A 17,293-nucleotide genomic window follows, 5' to 3' on the forward strand; every position below is an offset into this window, starting at 1 on the left:
AATAAAGGAGGGTGGAGAATGGAGGAGTGAGAAGGGATGGAGGGAGGAGGGAAGAGGGCAGAAGAGGAGGGTGGAGAAGGGAGGAGGGAGTAGGGAAGAGAACAGGAGGTTGGAGAGTGGAGGAGGGAGAAGGGGAGAGGACTGAAGAGGAGGGGGGAGGAGGGAGGAGGGACAGAAGAAGGAGGGAGGAGGCAGGTGGAGGGTGGAGGGAAGTGGGGGTTGGGGAGAGAGAATAGAGGAGGGAGGGTGGAGGAGAGAGGAGAAGGGAGGAGGGAAGAAGGAGGATGAAGGTGGAGAAGGGAGATGGAAGGAGGGAGGAGGGAGGAAGGAGGAGGAGGAGGGCTAAAAACCTGCATATGACCCTGACAGGTATTTCAAAAAGAAGAGCTGAGGAGGCTCAAAGGAACCACAGGCACCACCTAAGGGGCACGTCACTAACCTTCAAACACGGGACCCTCAAACCTTCCGACCCCTGGTCTAGACACCTAATCCCCGATGCCCCAAGCCCAGGCTAAATGTCCTGTGGGAAAGTCTCTTGCACCTTCTAGAACCAGGGCCAGGCCAGTTCTTCTATGGAGTTGGCCCTCAAAAATATTTGTAAGACATGGAGGTCATTAAGTGAAATATCCAGACACAGAAAGACAAACGCTGGTGTTGCCACCCATGTGTGGGAGCTGAGGAGATGATCTCGTGGAGGTAGAAGGATGGCGCTCAGCAGAGGCCAGGAAGGGCAGTGGCGGGAGGAGGAAGGGGGGTTGGTTAAAGGGCACAAAACTACAGTCAGGTAAAAGGAGTAGTTCTAGTGTTCGATAGCACAATAGGGTGACTATAGTTAACAATAAGTTATTGTATATTTCAAAATAGCTAGAAGACTTTTATGGCCAGGCGCAGTAGCTCATGCCTGTAATCCCAGCACTTTGGGAGGCCAAGGCAGGCGGATAACTTGAGGTCAGGAGTTCGAAACTAGACTGGCCAAGATGGTGAAACTCTGGCTCTACTAAAAAAAAAAAAATTCACCGAGTATGGTGCTGCACGCCTGTAGTCCCAGCTACTCAGGAAGCCGAGGTACGAGAATCACTTGAACCTGGAGGTGGAGGCTGCAGTGAGCTGAGATCACGCCACTGCACTCCAGCCTGGGCGACAGAGAGAGACTCCATCTCAAAAAACAAAATGAAATAGCTAGAAGATCTGGAATGTTCCCAACACAAATGATAAATGTTTGATGTGATGGATGGTCCAGTTACCCTGGCTTGATCATGACACACGGTGTGCCTGCATCGAGTACCACATGTGCTCCGTGAACATGGTGCGCCTGTATCAGGTACCGCACGTGCTCCATGAACACCGTGCGCCTGTATCAGGTACCACATGTGCTCCACAAACACGGTGTGCCTGTATCGGGTACCACACGTGCTCCACAAACACGACGTGCCTGCATCAGGTACCACACGTGCTCCACAAACACGGTGCGCCTGTATCAGGTACCACACGTGCTCCGTGAACACCGTGCGCCTGTATCAGGTACCACACGTGCTCCGTGAACACCGTGCGCCTGTATCAGGTACCACACGTGCTCCGTGAACACCGTGCGCCTGTATCAGGTACCACACGTGCTCCGTGAACACCGTGCGCCTGTATCAGGTACCACACGTGCTCCACAAACACGGTGCACCTGCATCAGGTACCACACATGCTCCGCGAACATGGTGTGGCTGTATCAGGTACCACACATGCTCCACAAACACGGCGTGCCTGTATCAGGTACCACACGTGCTCCACAAACACGGTGTGCCTGTATCAGATACCACACGTGCTCCACAAACACGGTGCGCCTGCATCAGGTACCACACATGCTCCGCGAACATGGTGTGGCTGTATCATGTACCACACGTGCTCCGTGAACATGTACAACGATCCCTAAAAACTTCAAAAATATATTTGTAAAACAAATGAATAGATCTTTAATTCACTTCACCATTTATAAAACACACACATACACTTTTTTTTTATATTTATCACACTCTTCTATGGCTGGAGAGAGAATAGCTAATATTATCTCTATTTTGTAGCCAAGAAAACGGAGGTTTGGAAAGGGTATGTAATTCTTAATACCCAAAGTCTCGTAGCAATTACATGTCAGGGTTAAAATTGGATAGAACGCCTCATCCAACACCATGGTTTTCCACAGGACATTGCTTCTGACCAAGGAACTCACTTAACAGCCAAAGAAAGGTCGCAATGGGCCGGGCTCCTGGAATTAACTTCCCTCTCATGTCCCTACCATCTCGAAGCCATGGGTCGGACAGAGGTGGGATGGCCTTTGGAGGTCCAGTTACGGCACCCATTCAGCGGCGACGCTGGCAGGGCTGGGGCGAGGCTCTCCAGAGGCCGCACTGACTCCAAATGAGCCTCTGGGACATGGAGCTGTTTCTCCCCAGCCAGGGCTCACGGGGCCAGGAATCGAGGGGCGGACATGGGAGTGGCACTCACTGTCACTCCTGGTGATGTACTAGGGGAGCTCCTGCTTCCTGCCCCCTGACGTTGTGGTCTACAGGCCGAGAGGTCTGGGTCCCAGGGGAGGAACACTGCCACCAGGAGACGCACGATGACGCCGCCGGAATGGAAGTTAAGACCCCACCCGGCCCCTTGGGCTCCTCATGCCTCTGAGTCCACGTCCAGAAAGGGATTGTCTGTGCTGGCCCGGGGATTGATCCTGACCACCCAGGGGGAATTGGCCTATGTGGCCACAATGGAGGCAGGACAGAGTCTATGATGCAGGAGAACCCTGGGGCGTCAAATTACTCCACAGAGAACGGTTCAAATAAAATGGCCAGTGCGCAAAGACAGCCAGGCTTATAAGTAAAAACAGACAAAATATCAGAAAACAAAAGACTTGATATATTCAAATTATCACGCACAAAATATTTTTAAAATCTATGCAAGTTGTATTTAAAAAACTAAAAGATATAAGACATGAGCAAGTCATGAAAGGACAAATATTGTCACAGGAGGTCCCTTAGCAGAGCCAAAGTCATGGGGACTGGACGGAGACGGGTGGCAGCCAGAGGCTGGGGCGGGCAATGGGCTGTTTCACGGGGACAGAGCTTCAGTTCGGGAAGACGGGAAAGATCTGGAGGCGGAGGCGGCGGGGGCTGCACAGCAATGTGACTGTACTTCACGCCACTGAATTAAAAATGGCTAAAATGGTAAATTTTATGTTATATACATTTTACCACACACAAAAACTAAAAGACAAACTTGAACAATAGAACTTTCTCTCTTTTTTTTTGAGTTGGAGTTTTGCTCTTCTTGCCCAGGCTGGAGTGCAGTGGCGCAATCTTGGCTCACTGCAACCTCCTTCTCCCAGGTTCAAGCGATTCTCCTGCCTCAACCTCCCGAGTAGCTGGAATTACAGGCGCCCACCACCACACCTGGCTAATTTTCACATTTTTAGTAGAGACAGCGTTTCACCACGTTGGCCAGGCTGGTCTCAAACTCCTGACCTTAGGTGATCCACCCGCCTTGGCCTCCCAAAGTGCTGGGATTATAGGTGTGAGCCACTGCACCCGGCCAAGAATAGAACTATTAGAACTAAAAGACAAATCCCAATTAAGCATAACACAGACAAATTTAATAGCAAAACAGATTTTCTAAAGAGATAGTGAATTTGAACATATATCAAAATAAATTATTCAGAATTCAGCATGAAAAGACCAGAAGATGGAAAACAGAGAGAAAAAAAGAAGAAAAACCAAAGCGATATAAAGTGTAAGAGGGTCCCAGAAAGAGAGAGAGAAAAGCTTACTGGAAACAAGCAAGCTTTGAAGAAATGACGGCTAAGAAATTTCTGAGACCGATAAGGATGCCTGCACACACAATTACAAAGCCCAGGCCAGGCAAGTCCCAGAAAACCCAGGAGCCGAGTCCACTTCCAGGAACGGACGAATAAGTTGCTTCAGAACAATATTTTCCATAGAATAGCTGGAAAAGCTAGAAAAATACTAAAACAAAACAAAATGCCTGTTGAAAGCCACTGGAGACCCACAAAGGCCACAAGGACCAAAGACCGAGGTCTGGAGCGGAGAAGCCCAGAGAGGTGAGCAGGACGCCCCTGGGGACACGATGGGGCCTTGGGGCCCAGCTCACCAGGCCACCAGCCCACCTGCCCATCGGGAGACAAAGTCAGCCCCAGGGGAGGTGATGGCCATCCCGACCATCCGGTCATTTCTAAAACCAGCGTCTCAAAGAGTTACTGATTCTGAGCGCAGTTGGGGAGAGGCCACGGCCGCATGGCACTCCTGCCACTCCCAGGGCTGGAAGGAAACACGGGGTTCAGGGATCTGTGAGGACGGGGACTGGAGAACACCCCGAGTTTTCTGCTGGGACCCACGAGAACCAACTGCATTTAATTTGGGGAAGACAGAGAGAGAGATCATTGCGAAGGGGCATGAAAGGGGCTTCCGAGGTGGTTACATTTTCTATGGTGGCCACAGGAATATTTGCTTTATGATACTTTATAGAGTCATACATTGTGTTCCACACGAGTATTTGCCTTATGAAGCTGTACGTACATTTGTGCCCTACATGAATATTTGCTTTATGATACTTTAATGATACTTTATGGACATCTGTGTTTTGTGCTCTTCTCTGTATGTGTTTTTCTTCATAATGAAAATGATGAAACAAACAAGAATTTTGAACACGAGGTTGTTGCTAGAAGCACTTCTGTTCAACACTGTACTGGAGGTCCTAGTCAGTATAATGAACTGAACCAAGAACGCGGAATAAGTAAGATTGGAATAGACATTGGAGAGGGGTAAAAGGCTCCTTATTCACAGGTGACATAATCATTTCATAGTAAATTGTAAAGAATATGCAAAAAAAAAACTCTACTAGAATAAGCTAATGTAGCATATTTGCAGCAATAAAACTTGGAAATGAATTGTTAATACCACTTTTCAATAGCACTGAAACCCAAAAATACTTAAGAGATATATTTTATTAAATGTTGAAGACCCATACCCTAAAAACTACAAAATATTCCAGAGAGAAATTTAAGAAGGCATAAACACATGGAGAGATATACTATGTTTACGGATTAGAAGACTCAATACTAAGATCCTCAAGTGGATTTATAGATTCAATGTAATCCCAATAAAAATCAGCAGGCTTGACCAGTTCATTCTAAAATTTTGCAGAATTCAAAGGACCTAAAAGAAAAAACGAAAAAAACCAACACAACCATTTTGAGAGCGGTAAGAACAAAGCTGGAAGACTTACAATCCCAGATTTTGAGACTTACTATAAAGCTACACTGTAGCTTTATTACTGCAGCTGCTAGAATAATCATGTAATAGTAATCAAGACAGAGTGGAACTGGTATAAAGAGAAATATAAAGATCAGTGGAACAGAACAGAGCACAGAAATAGATCAAATAGATCCACGCTTTTTTGGATCCACTGATTTTCAACAAAGGTGCCAAGATAATTCCACAGAGAAAGAACAGGAATGCTGGAAAAACCGGACATCATCCAGGAAAAAGAATCCTCAGCCCCCATATACACCATCTTCAAAAATGAACCTGAAATGAACCAGAGGTCTCAATGTAAAAGATAAAAATAGAAGACATCCAAAAGAAAATGAAGAAAACTTTGGGGCAGACAAAGGTTTCTTAGGTTCTTAGACGGGACACAAAAAGCACAAATCTTATTTTTCTTTAAGTGATAAAATGGTCATTATCAAAATTTAAAACTTCTGTTCATCAAAAGACATGGCCCCACGTACACCAGTGTGAACTCACATGAGCTTAGCACTGTCCCCGCCCCACCTGCACCAGCGTGAACTCACATGAGCTTAGCACTGTCCCCGGCCCACCTGCACCAGCGTGAACTCACGTTAGCTTAGCACTGTCCCCGGCCCACCTGCACCAGCGTGAACTCACATGAGCTTAGCACTGTCCCCGCCCCACCTGCACCAGCGTGAACTCACATTAGCTTAGCACTGTCCCCGGCCCACCTGCACCAGCGTGAACTCACATGAGCTTAGCACTGTCCCCGGCCCACCTGCACCAGCGTGAACTCACATGAGCTTAGCACTGTCCCCGGCCCACCTGCACCAGCGTGAACTCACATGAGCTTAGCACTGTCCCCGGCCCACCTGCACCAGCGTGAACTCACATGAGCTTAGCACTGTCCCCGGCCCACCTGCACCAGCGTGAACTCACGTTAGCTTAGCACTGTCCCCGGCCCACCTGCACCAGCGTGAACTCACATGAGCTTAGGACTGTCCCCGGCCCACCTGCACCAGCGTGAACTCACATGAGCTTAGGACTGTCCCCGGCCCACCTGCACCAGCGTGAACTCACATGAGCTTAGCACTGTCCCCGGCCCACCTGCACCAGCGTGAACTCACGTTAGCTTAGCACTGTCCCCGCCCCACCTGCACCAGCGTGAACTCACATGAGCTTAGCACTGTCCCCGGCCCACCTGCACCAGCGTGAACTCACGTTAGCTTAGCACTGTCCCCGGCCCACCTGCACCAGCGTGAACTCACATGAGCTTAGCACTGTCCCCGGCCCACCTGCACCAGCGTGAACTCACATTAGCTTAGCACTGTCCCCGGCCCACCTGCACCAGCGTGAACTCACGTTAGCTTAGCACTGTCCCCGGCCCACCTGCACCAGCGTGAACTCACATGAGCTTAGCACTGTCCCCGCCCCACCTGCACCAGCGTGAACTCACATGAGCTTAGCACTGTCCCCGGCCCACCTGCACCAGCGTGAACTCACGTTAGCTTAGCACTGTCCCCGCCCCACCTGCACCAGCGTGAACTCACATGAGCTTAGCACTGTCCCCGCCCCACCTGCACCAGCGTGAACTCACATGAGCTTAGCACTGTCCCCGGCCCACCTGCACCAGCATGAACTCACATTGGCTGCTCTCCGCTGTTTTCTAAAGTTGCAGCAGATTCTATACAGCTGATACCAACATTCTTTTCTAAATAATTCCAGGCTAAAGCCGACAAGTCAAATATAGAAGTCAGGTGGCACGTGATAAAGAGATGAGGAAAAACACACTTCCTCACTCAGCTAGCAACACCTGCATTTAATCAGTTACTGACCAGTGTACCATTCTAAATAAAGGGAAAATAGCATGATTCAGGAATCTCTTGGTCACCACCATGCTCTGTGGTGAAACGCTTTGGTCTCAAAACCACCCAAGACAAAGCACGTGGCCTCGTGTCCCCTTTCTGTTAAACGCATGCTGGGGAGGCGCCAGATCTCCTTCCTTCCACCCCCACGTCTCCCGACCTCCAGCAGCTGCAGGGAAGAGCTGGAAGGGAAAGTGGAAACCCAACCTTCATGGGTTAGATGGGCCGATGCTTCTGTAACACTCACTAGCAGTGGGACACGGTGGGACAAAATGTGTCATCACAAAGGAGGTTGAAGTTGCCTTTCTCGATTTTCTGCAAATTAGCAATTTAAAAGTGCTTCCTCCCCTGTGGATTCTGCGCTGGTTCCTTCTACCTCGCCAGAGCAAACACCGGACCGTGTGTCTCTAACACCGGAGATGCCAGAGGGTACAGTGTGGGGAGGACTCGCCTGATACGAGGTCCTGTGTCCCCACATTTCCTGTTGGACCTAAAGGCTAAACAGGGGTGAACGCACAAGAGGTTCCAGGCGTCCACTCCTGGAGGCAGAGTCCCTGATGTACTCAGGCAGCAGAGCAGCCCTCCTGGTCGTCTGCAGAAGAGCCCCCAGCGCAGGCCTCAGGTGGTCCCGGCCACAGCTCCTGGCCAGCTCAGCGGCAGCCTCCGCCCGGGGTCCTCCAGGCGGGCAGGCCCTGCTTCTGAATTCAGCATCGACTCCCTCCTAGAGGTGCTGCTCCACGGTTTCCTGAATAGTTTCTTGAACCGGAAATCAAGTCACCTCCAAGACCACACGGCGGTTCAGACGGAGTTCGCGAGACCACGCACAAGACAGGCGCGGACGTGGCCAGCAGAGCCCTCGCTCATCCGCCTCCAGTCTCCAAGTGAGGTGGGTTGCGTGTGGGGCCTCAGCTGTTGAGGGATAAACATCTGTGTCCTGTGTAGAGACCGGGCTCTCTGTGCGGAGGGAAAAGCTGGCAACTGTGCAGGGCCCCAACCCCACCAGGAGAAGAGGACTCTGGCCCAGGGGTGAATCCACGCGTGTTAACACGCCCCCGGGGCTGAGACTGCGGAAGCTGCGGGTTCCTGGTGTGGGTCAGGCCTGGGTAAGGGGCCTGAGGGTCATGATGCCCGCAACATCGGCATGCCCTGGTCACCTTCTGCAGCCGGACAGGCAGACGCTGTGATGCTGAGGAGTGACCAGAACGCTGTGGCCACGGGGCCTGGGCCGTGCTGCTCAGGGGTGCAAAGCGCTCCAACTCCTGCCAGACACATCGGCCGGCACAGAGGGCAGCAAACGGCTACTGCTGGCCAGGATCAAAGCAGCCGGCAGCTGCAAGACCGCAGTCCTCGTTTCAGGAGCAAGACGTCCCCCAAGGTCGTGGGACCTAGTCAAAGGGCATGGAAGCCAGTCTGAAAGGTCCCTCGCTGGCCAAATCACAGACAGTGTGAACATCACAGTAAGTGACAGTAACTAATGATAACTCAAATAAAACAGAAACCATGGAGTCCACACACACATAGAAACTGTGAAGTCCACACACACACAGACACCGCGGAGTCCACACACGGACACCGCGGAGAGTCCACACACACATAGAAACTGTGAAGTCCACACACACACGGACACCGCGGAGTCCACACACGGACACCGCGGAGAGTCCACACACACATAGAAACTGTGAAGTCCACACACACACGGACACCGCGGAGTCCACACACGGACACCGCGGAGAGTCCACACACACATAGAAACTGTGAAGTCCACACACACACGGACACCGCGGAGTCCACACACGGACACCGCGGAGAGTCCACACACACATAGAAACTGTGAAGTCCACACACACACGGACACCGCGGAGTCCACACACGGACACCGCGGAGAGTCCACACACACATAGAAACTGTGAAGTCCACACACACACGGACACCGCGGAGTCCACACACGGACACCGCGGAGAGTCCACACACACATAGAAACTGTGAAGTCCACACACACACGGACACCGCGGAGAGTCCACACACGGACACCGCGGAGAGTCCACACACGGACACCGCGGAGAGTCCACACACACGTAAGAAGAGCAGAGTCAAGGCGGGGCTGAGGGTATTCCAGGTGGAGGAGATCACAGAGACACAGTAACTAAATGCAGCGCGATTCTGAGCAGGGGTTTCTCCGACGGCACCACTGGGACAGCCTGGCCCGGCACCGGGTGCCAGTCGTGTCCGGGTGAGTACATCCCTGTCGTGACGGGAGGCCGTGGGCTGCAGGAGAATGTTCTTTGCAGGACGTACACACACGTACTCGGGGTGACATGCACGATGCTGGTGGCCTAAGCCAATGGCTCAGGGAGAACAAAAAGTTCTTTGCAGTATCCTTGAAACTTTCTGTGAGTTCTGATGGTTTCAAAGGGGAAAGAGAAATGAGCAAAAAGATGTAAACACTTTTCACAGAAAAGAAAACCCACATGGCCAAGAACAGAAGACGACGCTCACCATAACCCGTGACCAGGAAGTGCAAATCCAGGCACAGAGAGGCCCCCTTTGCTCCTGCTCAGCCAGCAAAAGTGAACCCCCCGGAATTCTAAGTGCTGGAGAACCAGCGAGAGCGTGGGTGTTCGCAGGCATCACTCTTCCGTGCCCTGGGAGCTGGCAATTCCACTTCCAGGTACAAAGCTAAGAGGAACCCACATGCACAGCCAGAGGTGTGTGGACAGGCCACAGCAGCACCATTCCTCAAAGCAAAAACCTGGTGGCAGCCCAAAAGCCTGTCCACAGGAGGAAAGACGGATGTACACGGCAGGTTTGCTCAGCAGAATGCTGTACAGCAGAGAAACCAAACAAACCGCAGAGGACAGATACACAGAGCGGGGCAGGGAGCCTGCAGACAAACCCACCCTCAACAGACACACAGAGCGGAGTGGGGAGCCCACAGACAAACCCACCCTTCACAGATACACAGAGCAGGGCAGGGAGCCTGCAGACAAACCCACCATCGACCGATACACAGAGGAGGGCAGGAAGCCTGCAGACAAACCCACCCTCGACAGACACACAGAGCAGGGCGGGGAGCCTGCAGACAAACCCACCCTCGACAGACACGCAGAGGAGGGCAGGAAGCCTGCAGACAAACCCACCCTCGACAGACACACAGAGGAGGGCGGGGAGCCTGCAGACAAACCCACCCTCGACAGACACACAGAGCAGGGCGGGGAGCCTGCAGACAAACCCACCCTCGACAGACACACAGAGCGGGGCAGGAAGCCTGCAGACAAACCCACCCTCGACAGACACACAGAGGAGGGCAGGGAGCCTGCAGACAAACCCACCCTCGACAGACACACAGAGCGGGGCAGGGAGCCTGCAGACAAACCCACCCTCGACAGACACACAGAGCGGGGCAGGGAGCCTGCAGACAAACCCACCCTCGACAGACACGCAGAGCAGGGCGGGGAGCCTGCAGGCAAACCCACCCTCGACAGACACACAGAGCAGGGCGGGGAGCCTGCAGGCAAACCCACCCTGGACAGACACACGGAGGGGGGCAGGGAGCCTGCAGACAAACCCACCCTTGACAGACACAGAGCAGGGCAGGGAGCCTGCAGACAAAGCTACCCTCACACCGCCAAGTGATTTTCAACAAAGGCATCAGCACAATTCCATGGAGAAAAGAAAGCTCTTCAATAAATGGTGCTGGGACTGAATATTCACATGAAAAAAACTAACCTTGATATTTACTTCATGCCACATACGGAAATTAACTAGAGATGGACAAGAGACGTCGATAGGACAGTCAAAACTAGAAGCTACCAGAAAAACACAACTTCTCCTTCGGGGTGAGCAAAAGTTTATTAGGAAAAAATTTAACTAGAAAACAGTAAATAAGTTGGACTTCACTGATGTTAACATCTTCTGCTCAAGACACCATTAAAATATGAAGAGGGGCCGGGCACGGTGGATCATGCCTGTAATCTCCATGCTTTGAGAGGCTGAGACAGGAGGATTGCTTGTGCCTGGGAGGCTGAGGCTACAGTGAGTCGAGATTGGGCCACCACACTCCAGCCTGGGTGACAAAGTGAGACGCTCTCAAAAAAAAAAAAAAAAAAAAAAAAAGCAAGCCACTTACAGGGAAAAAATATCCACAATCTATATACCTGACAAAGGACTTGTATCTAGAATATGTCACAAAACTCTGTAACTCATTAATAGTAAGATAAACAGGCCAGGTGTGGTGGCTCACGCCTGTAATCCTAGCACTCTGGGAGGTCGAGGCGAGCAGACCACCTGAGCTCAGGAGTTCAAGACCAGCCTTGGCAACATGGGGAAACCCCATCTCTACTAAAATACAAAAAATTAGCCAGGTGTGGTGGTATGCACCTGTAGTCCCAGCTACTCAGGAGGCTGAGGCAGGATTGCTTGAACCTGGGAGGCGGTGGTTGCAGTGAGCCAAGATCGCACCACTGCACTCCAGCCTGAGCGACAGAGTAAAACTTCATCTCCCTCAGAACGACCTGCACGCTCCCGGCTCTGGTCCCATGGCAGCCGGGGATAAAAGGTAAGAGGTGAGATATGGGCATTTCATGAAAGAAGATTTATGAATGGCCAATAAACCCACGAAAAGGTGCTCACCAGGCCGGGCGCGGTGGCTCACACCTGTAATCCCAGCACTTTGGGAGGCCGAGGCGGGCGGATCACGAGGTCAGGAGATCGAGACCATCCTGGCTAACACGGTGAAACCCCGTCTCTACTAAAAATACAAAAAATTAGCCGGGCGAGGTGGCGGGCGCCTGTAGTCCCAGCTACTCGGGAGGCTGAGGCAGGAGAATGGCGTGAACCCCAGGGGGCGGAGCCTGCAGTGAGCCGAGATTGCGCCACTGCACTCCAGCCTGGGCGACAGCGAGACTCCATCTCAAAAAAAAAAAAAAAAGAAAAAAAAAGAAAAGGTGCTCACCATCACCAGCCATCAGGAAAATGTCAAACCACAGTGAGACACACATCAGAGCTACTAGAATCATGAAAATTAAGGCCGACAGCATCAACGCCGCAGAGCCCACACTCTGCTGACGGGAAGGCAGAACAGTACGAACGCCGGAAAACTGTTCAGCAGGTTCCTTTAAGGTAAAAACACCTTTCCCTCTGATGTGCCAATTCCACCCCTAGGTACTTCCCAAGGTACATCCACAGAAAGACAGACAAGAATGTTAATGGCGTCTTTATTCTAGTAACCCGAACTGGAAACTACAGCATCGAAACAATCTCGGTGCAGTCACAGAAGGATGAGCAAACAGTAAGGAGCCACCAATACACAGCCACCAATACACAAGCTGTAACGCATGACCATCCGGCTGAGTGGAAAGAGAAACACGAGGGCACGGCGTGCGGTTTCACGTACGCATGAAATTCAAGAGCTGGCAACAGAAGCCCTGGGGCTCCAAGTCAGGGCAGTGGCTGCCGTGGGGACCGGAGCCGGGAGCATGCAGGCCGTTCCGAGGGACAGAAGTCTCTGCACCTTGACTGGGGTGTGAGTTACACAGGCGTGTGAGCTGTCAAAACACACATTATCCATGTTGTACACAAATTTCACACGGAAATCCTGCACTTCACTGCATGTAAATTCTACCTCAATTCTCCAAACCTGAATAAACTATAATGAGATGCAACAACGCGGATGGACCTTAACAATTATAAGGTTTAAAAGTTCCAGAATACTACAGTGGTACCCACTTTATAAAGTTAAAAAGAACTGAAGTTAAATTTTTTTTTTCAGATTTGTATAGATACCAGATAGTTATTTTAAAAGGACAGCAAGGGATGATGAGCGCGGAATTTGGGCTGACGGTTACCCAGGCGGAAGGAGGCAGGGGATAAGCATCGTGGTCACCTGTGAGACGTGAGAAGACCGAGCTGGCTCTTGTGTCAGGTGGCAGGTCCATGGGTGTTTGTCACACGATGAAAACAAAAAATACAGGTGTGGAGTCCTAATTAGGGAAGAGAAGTCAGGCTGGGGGGAGCCGGGGAAGCAAAAAGAATTCGCAGATTGGCTATGTCTGCCTTTCCTCATGGTTCAGGACACAGCGCGTCTGCACGAATAACTCACCTAACTCACAATCCTCCTCCACCCAACGTATCACCAGATCCTCGGCTGAGAGGAAAATGCAACTTAGCTCCCTGCAACCCTGGCGTTACCAGCACCGCTCGTGGCCCTCTCCAGCGCAAGCACCACCTTTAAAACCCCCGGCAAGGCTCTGTCTCCTGCCAGTCAGCTTCTCTCTTGCTGACGCGCCCGTTGCTTTCTTGCAACCTATCTTCCTGCTTTCTCGAATAAATCTGCCTTTCTTGACCTACAACTGTCTTGGTAAATTCCTTTACCACCTGCACCACTGGCCTCAGTTAGTCGCTACCCACGAAAACAGGTACAGTTATAATCACAGAGACAAGTAAAACGGGCCACGCGTGAACAAATGAGGAGAATGTGTCCTGAACCAAGGGTCGTGATTAATTTGATTCTGGGCTCCTGAGATCCTAAGATCTAAATTTAAAAAGAAGAAAAAGAAATCATAGTGGAAGTTAGGAAACACAACTGAATAATAACTAGGGTTTTATATTCAAACCTTACGGACACCCCTACAGTACTAAGTTCTCCATGAGAGGAAAATCTTATGTTAGAAACAAAAGCCTGGAGAGGAGGGCCCAGCTCAAGGGTTAGGAACACAACTGCAGAATGAGCGCGAATAAAGCAGAAGCAAAACCACAGGTGGGAAAGTAAAGAAATAAAGGGATTAGCGGAGAAGGAGGCAAAGGGCAGCTGTAGAGGTGGAAAGGAGAACAGCCTCTGACACGGGACAGGCCTTGGGCGTTGCAGGCTGTGCTCAGAGCACCTGCCGGCTTGTGAGGGTTCTAGACGGCACTGCTGCTCGGGGTCTGGGGCACGGCTACAGCCACATCCCTGTCCCCTCGGTTCAAGGATCGGCAGTGAGGATGAGAACGGCCAGGCTTGTCTGTAACCCTCCCCACAGCCCCGGCGATGACTCGACAATGCTGTAGAGCCGGCCGAATGGATGCAGAGCCTTTGGGCCGTCCCCGTCTGCAGCGCCCGCCCCGCCTTGGCCCTTCTCATCCCAGCCACATGGGCCCCTCTCCTCTCACCTGAGGCCCCAGTTCAGAGGCCTCGGGGCGGTTCCGGGAAGGCCATGTGGCTTCCTGTGCACGTGGACAGCCATGCGGCCGGTTCCCCAGTGAAGACGGGAGTCGGGGGACAGGAGGGTGGCAGAGGCTCTCCACCCTGGGAACCCTGAAGGGCGAAGGGAAAAGAAAACCTGGTCGGCTCAGAAGTAAGCAGCGCTCTCACAACCACCAGACCTCCTGGGTGAAGCCGCTCTGCAGATGTTTTCATAGACATTATGTTTGAACATCTCTAAGAGGACTGGAACCCAAATCATTATAATGAATGAGCTATTTAGAGGCTATTTTCTTTAAAAGCCAGGCTTCTTGTTTACTTTGTTTTATTCTACTAAAGTTTCCAAGAACACAGACAACCGAGACGAGAACACAGCAGTGTGTGCCAGGAGGAAACGCCGCGTCAGGCACTGATCCATCAGAGGCCGGCAGGGAAGGGTGTAAACTCAGCGACGGCCGCCAGAGCACCCACGGGTCCCTCGCAGGACCAGAGTCACGTTTTCCAGCGGGGAAGGGTGTAAACTCAGCAACGGCCGCCAGAGCACCCACGGGTCCCTCGCAGGACCAGAGTCACGTTTTCCAGCGGGGAAGGGTGTAAACTCAGCGACGGCCGCCAGAGCACCCACGGGTCCCTCGCAGGACCAGAGTCACGTTTTCCAGCGGGGAAGGGTGTAAACTCAGCGACGGCTGCCCGAGCACCCACGGGTCCCTCGCAGGACTGGCGCCACGTTTAGACAGGGCTCTGCGAGGACTCACCCCTCTGCCCCTTAGGAACCTGGCCATGGGACAGTCACGGGGGAGGCCTTCCACAGCCTTTCCAAGGACACCTGAGGCCACCTAATAGGCTCGAGGACAAGCCGTCTAGGCAGGTGTCACGTGACGAGAACGGTGTGCAGGGAGGCTCCACTCTGACTGCAGCAGGTGTGGGGTGGGTCCCAGGGAGGATGGAGATGCTTCATGAGCAAAAGGTGAAGATCTGTTTAAACCGTCCTCAGTTGCCAACGCTAGAGGTCAGGAACCGAATCTGTTCGACTGTAACGCCCTCTGCACATACTGGATCCAGAGTGAGTTTCAGGTGACGTTCACACTGGTCAGCTGGGCAAAACCCCAACGTCCTTCGAGGATGTTCACTCTCGTCCTCATCAACTCCACAGAGCAGCCAGCACCCGGGAAGGTGCCCACAGGCCCAGCCTCACAACATCTGCAGACCTGCTCCTAAGCCAGGCACAGAAGCTGAACAACCGGGTCAGACCAGGCCAGGCCTCCGACGCAGACCGAACTCGGGAGCTGAACAACCAGGTCAGACCAGGCCAGGCCTCCGACCCAGACCGAGCTCGGGAGCTGAACAACGGGTCAGACCAGGCCAGGCCTCCGACGCAGACCGAACTCGGGAGCTGAACAACGGGTCAGACCAGGCCAGGCCTCCGACCCAGACCGAGCTTGGGAGCTGAACAACGGGTCAGACCAGGCCAGGCCTCCGACCCAGACCGAGCTCGGGAGCTGAACAACGGGTCAGACCAGGCCAGGCCTCTGACGCAGACCGAACTCGGGAGCTGAACAACGGGTCAGACCAGGCCAGGCCTCCGACCCAGACCGAGCTCGGGAGCTGAACAACCAGGTCAGACCAGGCCAGGCCTCCGACGCAGACCGAACTCGGGAGCTGAACAACCAGGTCAGACCAGGCCAGGCCTCCGACGCAGACCGAACTCGGGAGCTGAACAACCAGGTCAGACCAGGCCAGGCCTCCGACCCAGACTGAGCTCAGGGGCCCAGCACACCCTAATCCTGTCACCCAAAGACAATAAAAAGCACCATTTTCCATGTGGTGGGTTGAGCTGTCCTTGGTGGATGCTGTCTTAGTGAGGAAAACATTGGATGGACCATCTGAGCATGAAAACATGAGCCCAAGGAAGGGTCAGGAGAGAGGGCTGAAGGTTCTGTGTAAGAAAACGGGAGAAATCTGAGGTGTTTTGGTCTAAGAAGAAAAGAGAAGAAAGAGACCCAGGCACCAGGACAGGAGTCATAGCAGCTGGTGCCGCCCTGGGGGTTCCGCCTTCCCGAGCTGGGCCGATAAATATGCAGTTTTACCCCGTCTGCACACGGGCACGCCTCTCCCAAACTTCCACATGTACCAGGAGCATGTGCAGAGGCTTCTGGTGATCAAGGAAAAGAGCTGGGTCAGGAGGAGAGGAACGGGCGGCTCCCGCGTAAATCCCCGCGTAGGCAGGAGCTCTGGGCCAGAGCGGCCTGGAGACGCTGAGCGGCACCCCAGGAATGCACAGAAGCCCCGGAACCTGGCCACAGAGGAGGGACAGATACAGATAAATGTTCCTGAAGTTTATTTTAAAGTAATTTTTAAATATCTATAGTTGAGTGTAGACTATACAAGCGACTACCTGTTATTCAGTCATTTGTCCTGCTATTGAAAAGTCTTTATAAACATCACAGTGACTCCCCCATGGAGACCTGCCGGAAACTTCTCCACCGTGACCCTCCCGTCCCATGTTAACGTTTCTGTTTTCCATCACAGTCAACAACCTGAAGCTTCTTTGTATCCAAATCGTTCTCAGAGATGCCAAGAAGGAAGCTGAGGAGTGAAGGACACTCTTCAGGCTCTTGATAGAAAATGCAAAGTTACACTGTCAAGATGGCATCAACTTAGACTGTCCAAAATACTAAGTTATATGCTTTTTTTTTTTTTTGAGACAGAGTCCCGCTCTGTCGCCCAGGCTGGAGTGCAGTGGCGTGATCTCGGCTCACTGCAAGCTCCGCCTCCCGGGTTCACGCCATTCCCCTGCCTCAGCCTCCCGAGTAGCTGGGACTACAGGCGCCCACCACCACGCCCAGCTAATTTTTTGTATTTTTAGTAGAGACGGGGTTTCACCGTGTTAGCCAGGATGGTCTCAATCTCCTGACCTCGTGATCCACCCGCCTCGGCCTCCCAAAGTGCTGGGATTACAGGCGTGA

General features: G+C 52.4%; 1 protein-coding gene across 15 annotated transcripts in view, besides 1 other annotated feature; it reads right to left on the reverse strand.

Annotated features, from left to right (window-relative positions):
* Nucleotides 1-17,293, reverse strand: part of QTGAL (queuosine-tRNA galactosyltransferase) — a 109,622-nt gene that overhangs the window by 74,313 nt on the left and 18,016 nt on the right. Inside the window, exon 3 of one of the 15 annotated variants that reach the window (XM_047435398.1) lies at nucleotides 14,297-14,441. The exons of the other annotated variants lie outside the window; for them this stretch is intronic. The gene's annotated coding sequence lies outside the window, so the exon portion shown is untranslated. The remainder of the gene's footprint in view (nucleotides 1-14,296; nucleotides 14,442-17,293) is intronic. 15 annotated transcript variants of the gene reach the window in all.
* Nucleotides 1,099-2,051: an enhancer, noted in NCBI's record as "H3K4me1 hESC enhancer chr17:80975436-80976388 (GRCh37/hg19 assembly coordinates)". NCBI's record gives its function as "activates a minimal SCP1, AML or CMV promoter by ChIP-STARR-seq in naive H9 embryonic stem cells {active_cell/tissue: H9 hESC(naive)}" and the evidence as "EXISTENCE:reporter gene assay evidence [ECO:0000049][PMID:30033119]".

This window comes from Homo sapiens, chromosome 17, assembly GCF_000001405.40.
Source record: "Homo sapiens chromosome 17, GRCh38.p14 Primary Assembly".
Lineage (NCBI taxonomy): Eukaryota > Metazoa > Chordata > Mammalia > Primates > Hominidae > Homo > Homo sapiens.